General features: G+C 40.8%; 3 protein-coding genes across 4 annotated transcripts in view, besides 6 other annotated features; all 3 read right to left on the bottom strand.

Moving 5' to 3' along the window:
• Nucleotides 1-582, bottom strand: part of ERCC5 (ERCC excision repair 5, endonuclease) — a 29,964-nt gene extending 29,382 nt beyond the window's left edge. The window contains exon 1 of the mRNA NM_000123.4: nt 260-582. Within this exon, the coding sequence (NP_000114.3) occupies nt 260-347 (88 nt within the window). The 5' untranslated portion in view covers nt 348-582. The remainder of the gene's footprint in view (nt 1-259) is intronic.
• The window catches only part of BIVM-ERCC5 (BIVM-ERCC5 readthrough), a 68,850-nt gene that overhangs the window by 29,382 nt on the left and 19,672 nt on the right, over nt 1-19,796 (bottom strand). The window contains exons 6-9 of the mRNA NM_001204425.2: nt 14,917-15,049; nt 12,062-12,148; nt 7,875-7,971; nt 6,811-7,042 (exon numbers count right to left, since the gene is read on the bottom strand). Coding sequence (NP_001191354.2) covers nt 6,811-7,042; nt 7,875-7,971; nt 12,062-12,148; nt 14,917-15,049 — 549 coding nt within the window. The remainder of the gene's footprint in view (nt 1-6,810; nt 7,043-7,874; nt 7,972-12,061; nt 12,149-14,916; nt 15,050-19,796) is intronic.
• Nucleotides 5-827: an enhancer, noted in NCBI's record as "H3K27ac hESC enhancer chr13:103498137-103498959 (GRCh37/hg19 assembly coordinates)". NCBI's record gives its function as "activates a minimal SCP1, AML or CMV promoter by ChIP-STARR-seq in naive and primed H9 embryonic stem cells {active_cell/tissue: H9 hESC(naive and primed)}" and the evidence as "EXISTENCE:reporter gene assay evidence [ECO:0000049][PMID:30033119]".
• Nucleotides 5-1,652: a biological region, named in NCBI's record as "H3K27ac hESC enhancers GRCh37_chr13:103497312-103498136 and GRCh37_chr13:103498137-103498959".
• Nucleotides 194-983: an enhancer, noted in NCBI's record as "active region_7972". NCBI's record gives its function as "activates an Ori minimal core promoter by ATAC-STARR-seq in GM12878 lymphoblastoid cells {active_cell/tissue: GM12878}" and the evidence as "EXISTENCE:reporter gene assay evidence [ECO:0000049][PMID:35858748]".
• Nucleotides 828-1,652: an enhancer, noted in NCBI's record as "H3K27ac hESC enhancer chr13:103497312-103498136 (GRCh37/hg19 assembly coordinates)". NCBI's record gives its function as "activates a minimal SCP1, AML or CMV promoter by ChIP-STARR-seq in primed H9 embryonic stem cells {active_cell/tissue: H9 hESC(primed)}" and the evidence as "EXISTENCE:reporter gene assay evidence [ECO:0000049][PMID:30033119]".
• Nucleotides 1,194-1,243: an enhancer, noted in NCBI's record as "active region_7971". NCBI's record gives its function as "activates an Ori minimal core promoter by ATAC-STARR-seq in GM12878 lymphoblastoid cells {active_cell/tissue: GM12878}" and the evidence as "EXISTENCE:reporter gene assay evidence [ECO:0000049][PMID:35858748]".
• The window catches only part of BIVM (basic, immunoglobulin-like variable motif containing), a 42,415-nt gene continuing 27,699 nt past the window's right edge, over nt 5,081-19,796 (bottom strand). Inside the window, exons 8-11 of one of the 2 annotated variants that reach the window (NM_017693.4) lie at nt 14,917-15,049; nt 12,062-12,148; nt 7,875-7,971; nt 5,081-7,042 (exon numbers count right to left, since the gene is read on the bottom strand). In NM_017693.4, the coding sequence (NP_060163.2) occupies nt 6,749-7,042; nt 7,875-7,971; nt 12,062-12,148; nt 14,917-15,049 (611 nt within the window). In that variant the 3' untranslated portion in view covers nt 5,081-6,748. Of the gene's footprint in view, nt 7,064-7,874; nt 7,972-12,061; nt 12,149-14,916; nt 15,050-19,796 lie in introns of both variants that reach the window. The other variant, NM_001159596.2, reaches the window with a different exon arrangement.
• Nucleotides 13,069-13,268: a silencer, noted in NCBI's record as "fragment chr13:103485696-103485895 (GRCh37/hg19 assembly coordinates)". NCBI's record gives its function as "represses an EF-1alpha promoter that drives an FKBP-Casp9 reporter gene in an ReSE screen in K562 erythroleukemia cells {active_cell/tissue: K562}" and the evidence as "EXISTENCE:reporter gene assay evidence [ECO:0000049][PMID:32094911]".

Below are 19,796 nucleotides of genomic sequence, written 5' to 3'. Positions count from 1 at the left end.
ATGCAAATACCACGCCATTATATAAGGGAGTTGAAGGAACTTGAACATCGTGGTATACGGAGGAGGGGCTGGAACCAAAGCCCCGGGGATACCGAGGGACGACTGTACTTAGAAAACCTAGTGACAGAGATTCTATAGCGACCCCGACCCCGACCCAAGACCATCATCCTGCAGATGCCACTGTGCCCAAGGCAGAGCCCCGCGAGGAATCCAGCCCCGAATCCCTGCACCCCAAGTCCCAACGCGGCGTTAAGGATACCAACAGCCAGGATCTTCCCTTCCAGCGCTTCGGGGCTGACCTGCCGCCCGGAGCACTCCAGCAGCTTCCAGAGCCCCTGGACCCCCATGAGGCGGCTGCGTCCTAAGAGCGGACCCCGACAACTTCTACTCTAATTCTTCTACGACGGACTGCACCGCCGCCTAGGACCCCGGGAGGAAGCCCTCCCTGCTCCTACACAACAAAGATGGCAAATAATACAGAAGCCACGGTTTTCCAGTGGGGGACGGCACTAATGGGAGCGCATTAAAGCGGAGAGACTCTGGCTGCAACACGTCTCAGCAGCTGTCACCGCCTCCCGGAAGAAAGACAGGTCCAGAGAATGGCCGTTGGCGGGGAGGGGCAGGGCCTCGCCTCGCCCAGCGCTTAGGCCCAAACGTCTGCGCCGCTAATGGAAGACCGGGGTGCAAGGGCCACGCAGGCGACGGAAACAGCCAGAAGATGTCCCTGCGACACCTCCCGCCTTCGCTGGTGGGTCCGCAAACCCATGAAAAATGGGCCCGCTCGGTTTCCGTCTAATACGACGCGCAGGGCGGAAGCTCCGCCTCCGCACATGACGTATATTTTCTGCGCTTGCAGCACTCCGGAAGTGAGAAGTTTAGCGCCAGTGGTGATGCCTTGGTGGTTACTTGCTTCCGTCACGCTGGCATCCTGAAGGCGTTAAGCATTAAAACAATGTGCAAAAGCGCCTTCTTGGTGGAGTAACGGGCTTTTGTTTTTGTTTGAGACAGGGTCTCACGCTGTCGCCCATACTGGAGTCCAGTGGCGCATTCTTAGCTCACTGCAGCCTGGAACTCCTGCTGCCCGAGCTCAAGCAACTTTCCCATCTCAGCCTCTCAAGTAGCTGGGACCGCAGGTGCGCACCACTATGCTTGGCGAATTATTTTTGTAGAAATGAGGTCTCCCTGTGTTGCCCAGGCTGGGAACTATTTTCTACACGCTTTTTTAGTATCGGTTTCTACCTTTGCGCCGCCGTGTGTGAAGATACTTAACACAAAGTGTTGTTTTACACGTGAAGAGACAACCAAAAGGTGGATGCCTTCTTGGTTTTGTACTATTTATTTATATGCTAGCACGTAGTAACTAAAGAATAATAAAATTTAAAGCCTGTGAAAATGTTAGGGTCCCAAAATTACTAAGCAAAAGGGAAAAGTCAAGCTGGGAACTGCTCAGGGCAAAACCTGCCTCCCATTCTAGTCAGTCATCCTTCTGCTCACTGAGATAGATGCATATTCTGATTGTCTCCTTTGGAAAGGCTTATCAGAAACTCGTATGCAGCCTTTTGTCTCTCATCTACCTGTGACCTAGAAGCCCTTCCTGCTTCCGAGTTGTCCCCACCTTTCTGGAAGGAACCAGTGTACTTACATATGTTGATTGATGTCTCCTGTCTCCCTAAAATGTATAAAACCAATCTGTGCCCCAACCACCTTGGGCACATGTCATCTGGACTTCCTGGGGCTGTGTCACAGCTGCGCGTCCTTAACGTTGGCAAAATAAACTTTCTAAATTAACTGAGACCTGTCCCAAATTTTGGGGGTTCACAAGCCTTAATCCTTGACATATAGTTTAGTTTTCTTCAGCATCTAAAAGTTATAATGCCGCGGCTTGTAGATCAGAAAGGACTAGAAATCAATTAACAGAGTAACCCCAGAAAAGGCCACAGCTCTGGAACCCTCAGGCCAAGATTCAAATCCCCGCATCGTGCCTCACTATGGTGTTTAGCATCCCTGAAGTCACAGTTGTTCAGAATTTGTGTCTCCATCAGTAATCAGGGCATAAAACCAACCTTGCAGACTTCAGTAAGTATTCAAGGTGTTACATGCAACGCACTTAGCACTAGTAACTATAAAGGATAGTATTAGCATCCATATTTGTTCAAATTGGAACGAAATTTAAACTCAGTGAAAAGGCTGACTTAAGGGAGCAGGCAATTTTTTAAAGACTTCTTTATAACAGAAGTATACGGGAAATTGATTTTTTTTATTTTTTTATTTTTTATTTTTTTGACAGGGTCTCACTCTGTCGCCCAGGCTAGAGTGCAGTAGTGCAGTCTCAGCTTACTGCAACTTCCACCTCTCAGGCTCAAGTGATGCTCTTGCCTCAGCCTCCCGAGTAGTTGAGATTACAGGCCCCCACCACCACGCCCTGATTTTTTTTTTTTTGAGACAGGGTCTTGCTTTGTTGCCCAAACTGGTCTCAAACAATCCTCCTGCCTCAGTCTCCCAAAGTGCTGGAGTTACAGACATGAGCCACCGTGCTCCGTGGAGAAATCCATTTTTAGCAAAACCACTTCTATGCTCAATAAGATGGTTCACAGTGGCCATGTTTGGTTGACCTAGTCACATCTAATTTGCTACAGGAATAATCCTGACAAAGTGTTTTTTGCATTTCCTCCATATGTAAAGTAATCCCCAGAAACTGTTCCCAGTTGTTATTTTACTGAGAGTAATATAACTGCCTGTTCAGTATTTGTCTCTTCCCCATGGTAAACTGTAAACTTACTGAAACGAAGAACGATTTTCGTGACTGCTACATCCCCCAATCCTGGCACTTAGCAGTTCTGTAAATATTGCCTAAATGACCTCTTAAGCCTCTAGTCTAAAGCTCTCCAGTGCACCTTGCAGTCTGCTGAAAGAATCTGCTTGGAGGTTAGGCTGATCATTCATTCAGATCTCATCTGAACCATATGTTGCCTTGTGTTATGGTCTGAATTGTGTCCTCCAAAATTCATCTGTGGAAGCCTGAGTACCTCAGAATGTGACTATCTGAAGACACAGCGTTTAAAAATGATTAAATTGAAACGAGGCCATTAGGATAGGCCCTAAATCCAATTTGACTGGTGTCTTTGTAGAAAGAGGAAATTGGGCCACAGGGAGAGACTCCAGGGATGATAGGCACAGAGGAAAGGCCTTGTGAGGACACAGTGAGAAGGCGGCCCTCTGCAGGTGAAGGAGACAGGCCTCAGAAGAAACCAAACCTGCCTGCTCCTGGACTTCTAGTTTCCAGAACCATGAGAAAACAAATTTCTGTTGTTTACGCCACCCTGTCTGTGGTGTTTTGTTATGGTAGCCCTGAGAAACTAAGACACTGTGATCCTAGGCAGGTTTCTTCACCAATGAAACCCTCAGTTTCTGCCAGTAAAATTAGAATGCGACCAACATCTTGTTGTTCTTGTTGCTGCTGAGCTATTTAAGAACTGACCTGGTAATGGTGTATAATTTAGTTTGTTGAGTGAATCGCTGGTACAGGAGGGGTGGGAGTGTTATTGGTAAAGTTGAGATGCAGAATGTGATGGATCCTAGAAGAGCTGCCTGAGCCCCTCCAGTCTGGGAGAAGACAAGTTGGCAAGTATTTTGGGTGCTGCACCAACTTGGCCTAATGATGGCACACAGTTCTTTAACAGTAATAGCAGTAGGGAAAGGAATTGCTGCAGAATTTGATCTAAATAAACTTTTTTTTTTCTGCCTGTGAGCTGGGTAAAAATAAATAGCCAACATAGGCATTTGAGTATTGTAAGTACTTTTAAAACCAAAGCAAAGGCTGGGCATGGTGGCTCACGCCTGTAATCCCAGCACTTTGGGAGGCCGAGGCAGGCAGATCACTTGAGGCCGGGAGCTCGAGACCACCCTGGCCAACATGGTGAAACCCAGTCTCTACTAAAAATACAAAAATTAGCCGGGCATGGTGGTGCATGCCTGTAATCCCAGCTACTCGGGAGGCTGAAGCAGGAGAACCACTTGAACCCGGGAGGCGGAGGTTGCAGAGAGCACCACTGCACTCCAGCCTTGGCAATAGAGCGAGACTCTGTCTCAAAAAAATAAAGCAACATTCTTGAATATGAAATATTCTTTTGAAGAAACAGCAACTAAGGGGTGCATATGTGATTTAAAAGGAATTAGCTCCTTAAGATGCTATCTAAAGGGCTCTCTCTAAAGACTCTGAATAGTAAAATTCACATCTTTTGGAATAATAGCAAGCTCTTAAATAGCACTTCCTATCTACAAAGCACTGTTCTAAACACTACATGTATTAGCTTATTCTTCAAATTCATTTATAAAGTAGATACTATTACCCCCACTTTACTAATGAGGAAATAGGCACAGAAAAAAAATTAACCTTAACTTGCCTATATCACTATAGGTGATATAGCTTGTAAGTGCAGAGCCAGTATTTGAACTTTCACTGTATCTATAGGATTCCTAAGAGCTGACCAAGAAATCAAATATCAAGGGAATTTTACTAATCTTCTAAGAGAAGTATGCAGTAACTCTTGCTTACAGCTTCTGCGGGAAAGATAATCTCACTAAACTCAAACCTCATTGTGCTCTTAATAACTGGAAAGCCAAACTTGGAAGCCAAACTTAGAACAGATCAAGACTTTTATAAAAATTGATTATGGTCAATAGTCTGAATAACTCATCCTGTTTTTCTAGGTGTCTCCCTATCCTTTAATTTCTTATTTTATTTTGCATTTTTCTCCTTTCCTCTTGGTTCTTCCTACCTACGTCTTCTCTGAAATATTCAGTTGAACTGTATGAAATTGCTAATATTCAACCATTTTTGACCTACAAAGATGACAACTTCATTTGGTTCAAGCTAATAAAAGAATCAAATTTTCTATTTCCTATTAAATTAGAAATCTAAAATTACAGTCATCATAATGCATATTGTTTCATTAATTATAAAAGGCTCAAGATGGTTTCTTACAATGTACCAGTTGAGCAGAATTGACAAATTATCATGTACTTCAAAGACACAATGGTACCTTCTACCTAAAACAAAGGTTTAAAAACATTCATATAATTAAAAGTAGAAAACAAAACTTTATTTGATGAAATCTTTTTAAAAGTTCCAGTATGAAGTAACAAAATCAACAACCTACAAATCTCTTTCAGTCCTTTGCATTTCAAGCAAAATATTCTCTTCAGAAAAATGACCATTTCATAATATATATCCCCTTCTGTAGGCTAGGCATGTACGAGTGAACAAACGGATATAAAATTCAAGAAAAAAATGAAAATATTTTAAAAATAAAAATCTGAACCTTTTCCTTGAGGTGTATTGCGATATGGTTACCAACACATTCAGCACCTTGTAATCACCAAGTTACTGATTTGAGTCCTGGAACAAGACCCTAAAATTAAAGAACAAGAGATCCTAGTCATTTGTGAGTCACAGGTTGGCAGCAGAAGAAAAACCAACAGCAACTAGAGGAGCTCAAATACATGAAATTCACACTTCTGAAATATTTAATACTCACTTCAAACAGCTAATTGTCTATATGATTTTTAAAAAGGAAACAGCTCAGAGTCTGGAATATGGGTAGTTGTCCTCTGAGTGACTTGGGCATTTCTTATGCATCTTCAGTACTGTTATCAACATATGACTCCATACTGAGAAAGCAATCAAATATCAGGAGATCTCATTTCACAGATAACCTTGGGTATAGAAACTTAAGGTGCCAATTGTTCTTTTACTTTACCCCTAAGGCAAACGTCATCTAGACTTATAAAAGTCTTTCGAGACCTAAGGTTCTTGTCAATATTTGATTATTACAAACCACATCAAGAAATTTTAAAAATCTGAATCAATGCACTAAGTCACCCATTTGCACCAAAAAAAAGGATCCGTCTTTTTTTTTTTTTTTTTTTTTGAGACAGAGTCTTGCCCTGTCGCCCAGGCTGGAGTGCAGTGGCGCGATCTCCGCTCACTGCAAGCTCCACCTCCCGGGTTCACGCCATTCTCCTGCCTCAGCCTCTCGAGTAGCTAGGACTACAGGTGCCCACCACTACACCCGGCTAATTTTTTGTATGTTTAGTAGAGACGGGGTTTCACCATGTTAGCCAGGATGGTCTCGATCTCCAGGATCAGTTTCTTGAGTCTTTTCTCTTTTGCCTCTTAGTCAGAATCCTAAGAACATAACCAGGAAACAAATGAGGCAAGCAAGATCCTGCTATAAATCAAAGAACTACTAGACTCATGAAATAATTTTAAATGCGTGTTAACCATGAGTGAAAACTAGAAATTGACAGCCCCAATTTTTTTTAAGGGCAGATGGTACTTTACATCTTGGTCTTAGGCATAAAACTATCTGTAACAAATGTCTAGGGATCGAGTCATTATAAAAGTCACTTCATGCTTAAGTATTTCAAATCTTGATGCTATTAAGTGAATTTGTGTTTCACTTATTTAGACAACAGTTGTAATTTTATTGAATTTTGTGAAATTTTCTGTCCAGATTATATACTCTTAACTTGAAAGGACAATAATCTGTGCTTATCTGCTTATATATCTGAAATCACCCACCATAATCATATACAAGCTTAGTATCTGGAGAACTACAAGGTTATTTTTTATACCACAAGATCTGCTCCTATTTAATGTAGGCTTACTAAAATCTTCTACTGTCTTTATACAGTCCTGTATATAGCAGTTTCATATATAATGCCAGCTGTTCAGTAGCAAGCATAGTCAATCATTCCCATCGTAATCACTGTAACCCTGGTAACCACTGTTCCTTCTCTCATGGATACTAGACATCTTTTTCCATGCCGAGTCCTGATGGAAACTAGCACTGAAAGACCGGCCCAGACGCCCATGCTGCTTCTTGGAAATATTGTCTTCACTCTCAGATTTGGCAATTCCCTGGGCATGTGTTGGAGGTTGTGATTCTTGTCTAATGGTTCCAAATGGAAAGTTCCAAAGGCCAAATCTTTGCCAGTTAAGTCTCTGGAATGCTATGATGCAATGCAAATTTCCCCCAACCTGAGAAGAAAAAAATGTTGGCTGAAGAAAATAAAGGGAAATTAATTGTACTAATTTGTAGGTCCCTATGAACTCCCTTCTTTCTTTTTTTACTTCACCGGCCTCAGAATGGTACTTTCCTTCCAGGCATCATCAGAGCACCTCATCCTGCACCTTTTCTAACAGCTGCCTTTACAAAATATAACAATGCCCACCGGAGCCAAAACACCTTCCTCCCCATGCCTCTCTACTACTCACTCCCAACACATACTAGAGAACTTCCCCATCTGCCTAATTCAAACACCAAGATCATTCCTTTTCCTCTCTCTCCTATTCTTCATATAGTTATATGAGTAAGATTGCATCAATAAGATATCATTTCCTGAGAGCCTCTCCCAAAGCCTTGTTTGTACACATGACTCTGCCACAAGGCCACAGTTAATCTGGCCCAAGCTGGGCTAAGACTACGGAACTGAACCCAAGACAGGTCAGTCTCAGTCTAGACTGTTCATCTAAAAACGACACATAAATGGAAAGATGATGATCTTACGAAGAAAGTAATCAGACAAAAGGAAAGCTAAGAACAATATATAGCCCCCAAAAGAGTGAAGCAGACTACCAGCTACTTGGCCCTTGCTGTCATTCCAATACCTGCTACCATCTACCATTCCTTTATGACTCCAGGTTATACCCCTTGCCCTTGGGTTTTAAAGACAGCCGTGTGTCCTTAAAATAATTTTCACTCCTCTATCAAATATAGGTTTCTGTTACTTGCAACCTAAAGAGTGCTAAGTAAAACACCACATTTTGGTCAGCTGGGAAATGCCTTCAAACACAATGGTGTTCTTCTTACCTTCTTTGTTTTTCTATACTGCAGTCCCCTCTCTAAGTGCCGGATATCCAGGTATTCTGGATTTTGAGTGTTTAGATCAGTAACAATATCTGCCCATCTATAGTTAAGAAGAAAGGATAAAGCACAATTTTCTTTAGGTCTAAAGTATCATTGCAATGGAATTTTTCATGAGCAAGTTGCTGCAATATTATCACAGCAATAATTGGCAGTAATTCTCTTATCTCAACATTGTTTCATCTACTAAACTGTAATAACTTCTAGTTTTATGACAATTCTGTTTATCCAACCGTTGCCAAGGTTTTCAGTGTACAATTGGTTACTCTTCCTACAGAATAAATAAATACCAACATGTTAGATGACATCCTGCATGCTAAAGCAGCAATATGCTATATTTCCTTTTCAATTACAGTCAAGTCCACTTTTAAAAGAATGTAAAGTTAATATGTCTCTATTAGGAGACAACACAATTGTGCAGAAAATCCAAGGGAATTACAAAACAACTACTAGAACTAAAAGGATTTGGTAAAGATGGAAGATTCAAGGTCTACATAGGAAAATCAATTGTATTTTTGTATTCAACCAGCAAATAATGAAGAAATGAAATTTTAAAAAAATCAATTTACAATAGCATCAAAAAGTATAACACACTGAGGAAAACCTTTTTATTGCAATATCTTTTTTAAGTTTTACTTCAATTGTTTTTGGGGTACAGCTGGGTTTTGGTTATACCAATAAGTTCTTCGGTGGTGATTTCTGAGATTTTAGTGCACCCATCATCCAAGCAGTGTACACTGAATCCAATATGTAGTCTTTTATCTCTCACCCGCCTCCCAGACTGCCCTCAGGAGTCCCCAAAGTCCATTATATCATTCTTATGCCTTTGCATCCGCATAGCTTAGCTCCCACTTAAAGTGAAAACATATGATATTTGGCTTTCCATTCCTGAGTTACTTCACTTAGAATAACGGCCTCCGGCTCCACCCAAGTTGTTGCAAAAGACATCATTTCATTCCTTTTTATGGCTGAGTAGTATTCCGTGGTAATATACATACCACATTTTCTTTATCCACTCATTGGTTGATGGGCACTTAGGTTGATTCTCCATCTTTGCAACTGCGAATTGTACCACTATAAACGTGTGTGCCTGTGTGTTTTTCATATGACTTATTTTCCTTTGGGCAGATACTCAGTAGTGGGATTGCTGGATCAAATGGTAGATCTACTTTTAGTTCTTTAAGGAATCTCCATACTGTTTGTCATAGTGATTGTACTAATTTACATTCCCACCAGCAGTGTAATAGAACACATAGAGAAAAAATGTTTAATAAAAGACATAAAACTCCATACTGAAAAAATTTTTTTAAAAAGTTGAAATTAAAGCTCTAATTAAGTAAAGATATAGTCCATGTTGTTATGATGTCAATTCTTCCAAAACTAAACTATGAATTCTTTCTTTCTTTATGAGACAGGGTCTCACCTTATCACTTAGGGAGGAGTGCAGTGGTGCAATCTCAGCTCACTGCAGCCTCGACCTCCCAGGCTCAGTTGATCCTCCCCCCTCAGCCTCCCGAGTAGCTGAAACTACACGCACATGCCACCATGCCTGGCTAATTTTTGTCGTTTTAGTAGAGATGGGGTTTCGCCATAGTGCCAAGGCTGGTCTCGAACTCCTGAGCTGAAGTGATCCTCCCACCTAAGCGCTGGGATTACAAGCATGAGCCACCGCGCCCAGCCAAAATTATGAATTCTATAGATTCTATCCTCATCAAAATCTTTACAAACTCTAATTAAAAGGACAAATTCTAAAATTTTTATGGAAAAGCCAAGGTCCTAGAAGAGCCAAAACAATCTTTAAGAAAAAGAAAAATTCAGAGAATTCGTGCTATCTAATTTCAGGATTTAGTATAAACAACAATTGAGAGTGTGGCATCGGTAAAAGGACAGACAGATTAGTAGGACAGGGTCCAGAAACAGCCCACACATACAGTTTTCAGCAGAGGCACCAAAGAAGTTAAATACGGAAAGGAAAATCTTTGTAAACAAATAGTGCTAGAATAACTAGATAAACACTGGGGGAAAAAATCAAAGTTGAGCTCTACCACATACCACACACAAAAGGTAATTAAGGCCAGGCATGGTGGCTCACATCTGTAATCCCGGCCCTTTGGGAGGCCAAGGAAGTAAGATCACTTGAGTCCAGGAGTTTGAAACCAGCCTGGACAACACAGCAAGACTCTGTCTCTACAAAAAAGTTTTAAAATTAGTAGGGCATGGGGGCACACATCTGTGGTCTCAGCTACTCAGGAGACTGAGATGGGAGGATCACTTGAACCCAGGAGGTCGAGGCTTTAGTGAGCCATGATCACACCGCTGTTCTCTGGCCTGGGTGATAGAGAGAGACCCTGTCTCAAAACAATAATAGAAAGGGATCAGAAATCTAAACATAAAATCTATAAAGCTTCTAGAAAAAAACAGGAAAGCATCTTTGAGGTCGTGGGGTAGGCAAAAATTTCTTATAGAGGCACAAAACATATAAAAGAAGAAAATTGATAAAATAAATTTAATTAAGATTAATTAGAATCAGAACTTCTGTTCATCAGAAGGTTTACAACCACTTTGGAGAATTTTCTCACAGTTTCTTAAATATACATCTATACTATGAATCAGCAATTCTAGTCCTAGGTGTCTTCCAGGAGAACAAAACATATGTCCTCTAAAAGACTTGTACAACAAAAGTGACTTCTCCATACAAAGGAAATGATTTGGCCATATAAAGGAATGAAGTTCTAATCCATGCTAAAACATGGATGACATTGAAAACACTGTATTAAGTGAAAGAAGCCAGGTACAAAATGCTACATACTGTATGACACCATTTATACGAAATGTCAAGAACAGGCAAATCCCAGCCAGGCGTGGTGGCTCACGCCTGTAATCCCAACACTTTGGGAGGCTGAGGAGGGTGGATCACTTGATATCAGTAGTTTGAGACCAGCCTGGCCAACATGGCGAAACCCCGTCTCTACGAAAAACACAAAAATTAGCTGGGCGTGATAGTGGGCGCCTGTAAGCCCAACTACTCAGGAGGCTACGGCAGGAGAATCTCTTGAACCTGGGAGATGAAGGTTCAGTGAGCTGACATCACACCACTGCACTCCCACCTAAGTGACAGAAAGAGACTCTGTCTTAAAAAAACCAAACAAACAAACAAACAAGAATAGGCAAATCCCTAGAGACAGAAGGTAGATCAGTGGTTGCCAGGGCTCAGGGAATACGGAGTGACTGCCAAGGGGTATGGGGTTTCTTTCTGGAGTGATGAAAATGTTCTGCAATTATATAGTGGTGATTGGTGCAGAACCCTGTAACTATAATAAAATCTATGGAATTGTACACTTTTTTCCCTTTTTTTGAGGCAGGATCTCGTTCTGTCACCCAGATGAGAGTGCAGCGATACGATCACAGCTTATTACAGCCTCAATCTCCTAGGCTCAAGCAATCCTCTTGCCTCATTTTTTAATTTTTTTGTAGAGACAGGGTCTCACTATGTTGCCCAGGTTGGCCTTGAACTCCTGGGCTCAAGCGATCCTCCCACCTCAGCCTCCCAAAGTGCTGGGATTACAGGCATGAGCCACCGCGCATGGTGGGTGCAGTGAACTTTATGGTATGTGAATTATATTTTAATAAAATTTTTATATAATTTGTTTCAAGGCTTGTACATGAATGTTCCCAAGAGCTTCATTGACAAGAGACCAAACCTCAAAGCAATCCAAATGCCCATCAACAGGAAAATGGAAAACAAATTGCAGCATGCTTATGCAACAGAATACTACTCAGCAATAAAAAAATAATAAACTCTTGATACACATGACACAATGGAGGAATCTCAAAAATGTTACTTAAGATATTGATGCAAAAATAATATTGTCTGATTCTCTTTACATGGAATTCAAGAAGAGGCAAAGCAAATCTGTAGTGACAGAAATCAGAAGAGGGGCTTTCTATGGAGATTGATAGGAGTAGAGAGTGAGAGTATTTTCCATGGCAATGAATGTGTACCATATCCTGTTTGGGTGGTGATTATACAGGTGCATTCATTTATCAAACTAATTATATACAACTAAGATCTGTGCATTTCACTGTATCTAAATGTTACCTCAATTAAAGAAAATAAAGGGAAGTTAACATACTTTTTACAGTGAATGGCAGGATGTTTTCTACTTGATTCTCCAATTAAGATCCAATATTCAACTTCCTGTGGTGAGAGAGGTCCCCTGCTAAATATAAAATACATTCACAGTACGTTTAATAGTTACTCCCTTGAGTATATTGCTTCAAATATATATTAATAAAAGGCATACTAGAGTGTATTCAAACCTGGCATTCATTCATCAAGAACAGACATTAGAGCTTAGGTGAGGGCAAATTTCTACAGGCCATTAAAGAGAACTCACAAATTAAAATTTCAGCCTTAATCCTCTATTCAAAATCTAGGGCTATAAAATGTTTTAATATACCACCTCTAAAATTCTAGGAGGAAAAAAAAATCCTGGAATGCTATCTGCATTTTTCCACTACTCTTCTCCTTTCACTATGAATTCAAGACATCTCAAAACGCATCCTAAAAATGAAACCCTAAAGCAATGAAGTCTTTAAACACACTGATGTCCTAAACCCATCCCTGGACATTCTAATTCAAATAGGTCTGGAGTAGAGCCTGGGGATTTATATAGTTTTTTAAGAAAATCTCACATGATTCTTAGGTACAGGCAGAAGTGAGGGACTCTCTTTTAAAGGGTACAAAGTTGGTTTAAAACCATGATTTATATTTGATAAATGTCAGAAATAAGGTGAAGCTGCAGGATGAAATCATAAAAGAAACATACAGTATACCTCACTTACAAGAAATTCCACCTCCAGAAAGATGAATAAAGCATTTCAGCATTGGGAGAGAACAAGAGAGTTCCCTCTTGCTCCTTATTCACAAAACACAACTTCCAGCTTCCTGGTTCTCCCAGGTCATTCCAACCTGTCTCAGAATCCCTCTCTTCCCCAAACCCGAGGGGCCTTTGAGTGGGACTCCAAAGCCACATGGCCTCCAGCCCCAAATAACCCATCCTGGCTGGGTGTGGTGGCTCACGTCTATAATCCAAGCACTTTGGGAGACTGACATGGTCAGATCACTGGAGCCCAGGAGTTCAAGACCAGCCTGGGTAACATGGTGAAACCCTGAAACCCCATCTCAAAATTAGCCAAGTATGGTGGTGTGTACCTGTAGTTCCAGCTACTCAGGAGGCTGAGGTGGGAGGATCACTTAAGCCCAGGAGGTCGAGGCTGCAGTGAGCTATGATCTCACCACTGCACTCCAGTCTGGGCAACACAGCAAGGCCTTGTCTCAAAAAAAAAAAAAAAAAACCCATCCTATCCCCATGACCAAGCCAATCCCTTTGCTCAAAGTACTCATGGCTTGTGTTTTCACCAATTCTTTCTTTCTTTCTTTCTTTTTTTACAGAAAGGATCTCGCTCTGTTGCCCAGGCTGGAGTGCAGTGGCATGTTCTCAGCTCAGGCGATCCTCCCGTCTCAGCCTCCCAAGTAGCTGGGACTACAGGTGCATACCAACACACTCAGCTAACTTTTGTATTTTTTTAAGAGACAGGGTCTCACTATGTTGCCCAGGCTGGTCTTGAACTCCTGGGTGCAAGCAATCTGCCTGCCTCAGCCTCCCAAAATGCTGGGATTACACCACTGCACCCCACCCACCAATTCTTAACTAGATACTTCTCCCTTGGCTTTCAACCATCCTGGTATTATCTCAACCCATCATAAGGAAAAGTGGCTAAACAGGAAAAAAACCATTAAAACTTAGTCACCTTCTCTTTCTTAGGGATCATCTCTTCCACAAAGATGCAAGTTTACCAGTAAAGTTATATAGTTAATAAAACAGAAACTCTAGATTAGGCAAAAAAGAAATATAACCATGAAAGTCATGTAGTTTCTGACATTGGAAATAAAAATTGGCTCAGAGCTTCCTTGCAATCAGGACAAAGGGGGAACCCAGACAAATTCCATATTCTTCACTTTAAGAAAAGAAGATGCTTTTTAATTTACTCAGTTGTGACAATCTTCTTGACACTAGATTCTGTAATATATTGTTCATGTGGGACGTTGGATGAGGCACTGTGACATAGTCTATAAAATCCTTTGCAACTGTTTTATAATAAATGTAAAAATTACTTTTCAGGAAGGGTGTGGTGGCTCACACCTGTAATCCCAGCACTTTGGGAGGCCCAGGAATAAGGACCACTTGAGGCCAGGAGTTTGAGACCAGCCTGCACAACATAGCAAGACCCCGTCTCTATAGAAAACACAAATTAAAAAATTTTATGAGCTGGGCATGGTGGTGCATGCCTGTAGTTCTAGCCACTCAGGAGGCTGAGGTAGAAGGATTGCTTGAGGCCAGGAGTTTGAGGCAGCAGTGACCTATAATTACACCATTGCACTCCAGCCTGGATGACAGAGTGAGACCCTGTCTCTAAGAGAAAAACAAGTGACTTTTCAAATGACTTTTTCCTATAATGACTGAACAACAGTATCTAAATGGATATTTTCAACAGCACAATTAACTAAATGCAATTCTGCAGAAGAATAAGTCATAATGTTTAAAGAATAGTCTAACTTGATGTCAGGAAAGCAGATGGCCAAGCCTCCCAATATCACAGACTTTGAATATTTTTTAATTTTTTTAATTTTTTTTTTGCAAGTTCTGCCTCCCGGGTTCACGCCATTCTCCTCCCTCAGCCTCCCGAGTAGCTGGGACTACAGGCGCCTGCCACCACGCCCGGCTAATTTTTTTTTTTTTTTTTTTTTTGTATTTTTAGTAGAGACGGGGTTTCACCGTGTTAGCCAGGATGGTCTCGATCTTCTGACCTCGTGATCCGCCCACCTCGGCCTCCCAAAGTGCTAGGATTACAGGCGTGAGCTACCGCACCCATCTATTTTTTAATATTTCTTAAAATGCACTTTCTAAAACACGTCAATGCTTACCTGAATGCTTTATTAGCTTTAACAGGGGTTGCTTCGAAGCCAATTGGACAAAAATAATGATTTTGGCAATGATAGATATAAGCCAGCGATTCATCTTTCAATCCACGGGTTAACTTTGACAGGGCCCCTGAAGCTATTAAAAACAAACAAACACACAAACTGAAAGCCCATAAAGCAGTGTCCATGCTTTACACAAAGGACCGGTTAAGGGCTTAAGGACAGAAAAGACATTACTTGGAATACACTGACACTGCTGGGGAAAAACAAGAAGCTATTGATAGGTACAAAAAATGTTAATAAATGTATTCTGTTTTACTCTTTAAACTGAAATTCAGGTAAGCTCATTAGCAAACTAAAGAACTAAAATATGTCCTTGCTTACCAAAACCTTCTAATAACACACATACTTGTCTATGAAATTTACCTAGTGTATTCAGCAATGGTTTCAACTTTTCTGGTTGTACACAGCTGTCACTTAAAATTCTGAACAAGCATGCCCAATGTTAGCACATGCATTTATAAAGTATATACATATACCACTGTACTAATATGTCTTTATAAAAGATATACAAAAAGTTGGAATTTAAAATTAGGTTAAAATATAGAAGTTCTAATATATATGCAGTACACACATCCCAACTTAAAAAACTACTGATGTATATGAATAAAAATAAACTCCAGGTAATAATCAAGTTCTAAAAATGCAAACTTCTCCTACTAATGAGACAGCCAAGTAAAAACGGCTTCCTGGAGAATCTCCAGCTGGCCTGCGTGCTGGGAGGATGGGGTTGGGCCTCAGGAAGTGCCCGCTGTTTGCAGAGGGGAGGACCTTGGCCTCTCCTGTCCCTGTGTGGCAACCTGGGATTCAATCTGTGAGATGGGGGCCTGTTAGCAGGAACCCTTCTCGCTTTGCTGAGTTTTTTCCTTTTCACCCAATAAATTCTGTTCCCCTTCACCCTTCAAAGTATCTGTGAGCCTAATCTTTCCTTGTTGTGTGATAAGAACCCAGATTTTTCTACACACACTTTAATCTTTACACAAAACTTATGGAGGCTAGAGGAGTAGTCTTCACAAGCCAAGTGACAAGATAACATCTCTACAGAGACAGGCTGGTAGTACCACCACAACCTCTTATGCCCACTCTTCCCTGGACATTTGCCATAACTATAATAGTGGTCAATTTCAAAAGTATTACCATAAGAAATGACTTTTCACCAGCACTTAGTACTCAAAGCCATTAACTGAGGTTTCATTAACTGGCATGTCCTAGAAGAAGCTAAATTATTTATTCATAAACAGCCCATTAAAACTAGAAATCCTAAAAATAGATGAAGCAGATGAAAGCTTGCAAGTCATAGTTTCAGTGATCGACTTTCTGGCCACTGAAATAGCTGAAGACCACTAAGAGCAGCAGGTCCACGGCCGCAGAAGAGAGCCAAGGAGTGATGCACGGTCCCTCAAGTGCATTAGTAGGGAAGATGGAACAAGTAACTTTTATATAAGGTGGAATAAGATAGTGCCACAAAAGGGGCATAGAATTCAAAGGAGAAAGAGCACATCAGGTTTGAGGAGTCAAGAAGAAGTAGCATTCAAGATGAAACTTAATGAAGTGTCAGGATTTCAACAATCTAGACAGAGGAAAGAGCATTAGGAGAAAACAAAACCACTGGGGAAAAGGAATATACTCAGGGAACAGCCCGTGATCTAGTTTATAGAATACAGGGTAGGATGGTATAGAGGAGCCTACTGTGGGACAATCCAACAATTTCAGGCCAAAATAAGAAAAAGATCACCCTCTGAAATAAAAGATAGTAAATACAGCATTTATTTAATTATTTATTTTATTTTATTTTATTTTTTGAGACAGGGCCTTGCTCTGTCGCCGAGGCTGGAGTGCAGTGGCATGATCTCGGCTCACTGCAACCTCTACCTCCCCGGTTCAAACAATCCTCATGCCTCAGCCTCCCAAGTAATTGGGATTCCATGCACTCACCACCACGCCCAGCTAATTTTTGTATTTTTAGTAGAGACGGGGTTTCACTATGTTGGCCAGGCTGGTCTCAAATTCCCAAAATCAAGTGTCCCGCCCCTCTCAGCCTCCCAAAGTGCTGGGATTACAGGTGTGAGCCACTGTGCCGAGCCAGTAAATACAGCATTCAACACATTAAGGTAGTTGTCCAAGAAAGTAATTCTGTGTATGAGAAGACACAAATGTATTACTGAGGGAAGCTAAATTCAGAATGAAGTTGAGTCTGTACTTCAGTATAGCTTTAAAATCTGAAACTTAAGCAACAAAGCAACCACCACCAAATGCAGAGCCATGATCTGCACGGCATAGAGAAAGGAGAAAAAAACTACAGGAATCCACTGGCCTGCTGCATGGAGAAGAGCAGGTATTCTGAGCAGCCAATAAGAGAATTCTGGTCCCTTTGAGATTATGTTTCTTACTTCAAGTTACTCTGTTAACATTCTGACATTCTGAGTTTGCTTAGTATGAGCTTGTCCTGTAGACCCTGATCATCTATAGAGGAATGCTAGATAACTCCATAAGAACTTATAGAGTATATTTTTACACCTTCAAAGACAAGAATAGCTTCTGAAACTCTGATAGGTAATCCAGCAATCTAACATTACTCTGCAAGGTCCTTATTCCCCTGACATCTTTTTTATTTTAAAAAAAAAAAAAAAGATGCCCAGGCTGGAGTGCATGGCACAATCTCAGCTCACTGCAACCTCCACCTCCCGGGTTCAAGCAATTCTCGTGCCTCAGCCTCCCAAGTAGCTGGGATTACAGGTGCACGCCACCATGCCCAGGTAATTTTTTGTATTCTTAGTAGAGAAAAGGTTTCACTATGTTGGCCAGGATAGTCTCAAACTCCTGGCCTCAAGGAATCCACCCACCTCGGCCTCCCAACCTGCTGGGATTACAGGCGTGAGCCACTATGCCAGCTTCCCCTGACATCTTAAATACAACTGGTACATGGAGGACAGCAGGGGAAGGCCAATTTGTGTCAGCTTGGAATGACACTAAGCAGTTTATGCTGTAAGCAAGCACCAAACAGCTCCTAAAGAGGAAAGGGGTATGTTAGCACTGCATGTTCAAGAGATTTATTATTTGTGTCTAATATTAATTGGAGAAAACCAGTACATGAGGAAAACAGAATACTAATGTATTGTCCACCGGAGATGTACTGAGGTGCTTCAGTAAGCTGGTAACAACAATCATGGTGAAGCGATGTGTGAGTTATACAGGAATGAGGCCAGAGACGGGTCTTCTCTGTTAAGCAAAAGTTATGAACTGCAATACCCACTAGAAAAAACTAAATACATGAATATAAATGCAATTTTCAAGCTAGCTGATTAAAAAAATGAGTCTGGACTTGCCTGGTGCAAATGTTGGTGGCTAAGTGAACCCATACTCGGAAGTTATCTGAACAGAGACCTAATGTTGGCAACTCCTAGAATAAATTTTCATTGTGACTAGTGACATCTCTGAAAAAAATACTGATATTAACAGCTAAGTCTTATCAAAATCCCTGGACTTCACTTTTATTCCATTAGTGTGCTTAGTTTACAGTTACTAAGAGCCCACTGGACATAAGCACCGGGGAGTCCCTGAATCACAACAGCGTGGTCCCCAGGAAAACGTAAAGCCCATTGTGAAAAACAGGCTTAGTGGTCCTTAAAAAACAATTTAAGCACAAAGAGAAGATAGATTTAAAAGTGTTTTTAAACAAATAGCGCCACTGACAATGGTTTTCACCAGTGAACATCCCAGAGAGAAATCAGAAAGCCTATCTCTGCAACTCTTTCTTCCACAATGGGAGAGAACGGAAGAGACGTCTGCTTTACACATGAACCACCCTACCGCCTGAATACCATCAGAATTCATAGGGTAACGTGTAATGTCGTGGGCATCATATCTAGCATGTAAGGGCTACTCAGAACAGTCCCTATGGTCAAGGAGCTGGACACTCACATTGAACAGGTGAAACATAATAAAACATAGCACATAGCAAATGGAAAATGATGGGTGTGAAAAATCAGTACTAGAGGAATTTAGAGGAATCCAGGGCTAAGGTGGCCAAGGAACATATCAGAGATGAAGCAGGGCTTAACTGGGTCCCCCAATTAGCAAAGGTAAAGACAAAAATATTCCAGGAGGCGTACGCAGATTAATTATCCTTCAGGAAATGCACACAGAAAAGCAGTAAAAAGTCGAATATTCTGGAAAAAAAAAATTGAAAGTAGGAATAAAACTTGAAAAATATATTAAAACTTACTCAAATTACAGTAAGCACCTCAACCCCCTAACAAAAGAAAACAAATTTAAGGAAAATAGGTAGTTTATCCCATTCCTCAATGAAAAGTTTGGATGTATGCTGGAGGAAATTTAAACAAATAGGTTAAAAAAAAAAAAAAAGTCATTGGGACCCAATGCTACACATCCTAGATTATTAAGGGAACTGGTTAACACATGCACCAAATCATTACATTTAAATAAGTCACAAAGAACTTGGGAGGTACCAGACTATTGGAAAATAAAATAAATAAAGTACAGATATTCAAAAGATCTACAAATGAGAATTTCTAGCAAAATTATAGTATAAAATCTTAAAGTTGGACAAGACAGTTGATCAAAAATCTTTTAAAATTCCAGAATAGTGATTCCTAAGTCAACTCTCTCCATGGCCCTTTTAGTGTTTTATTCCATTCCATTAATTATAAAAGTATATGTTCTTACTTTGGGAATTTGATTAAATGTATATAGCTGATGTTTCCTCGATACCCAGAGTTTCTTTGATAGATTTTCTCTCTTATTCTAATTTCTCTGGGTCTTCCTGCTTCCCTTAATTTCCTTTACTTTGACTGACCCATCTC

Source organism: Homo sapiens, chromosome 13, assembly GCF_000001405.40.
Source record: "Homo sapiens chromosome 13, GRCh38.p14 Primary Assembly".
NCBI lineage: Eukaryota > Metazoa > Chordata > Mammalia > Primates > Hominidae > Homo > Homo sapiens.
The sequence above is the reverse complement of the archived record's forward strand: the minus strand, read 5'-3'. Positions and strand labels throughout refer to the sequence as shown.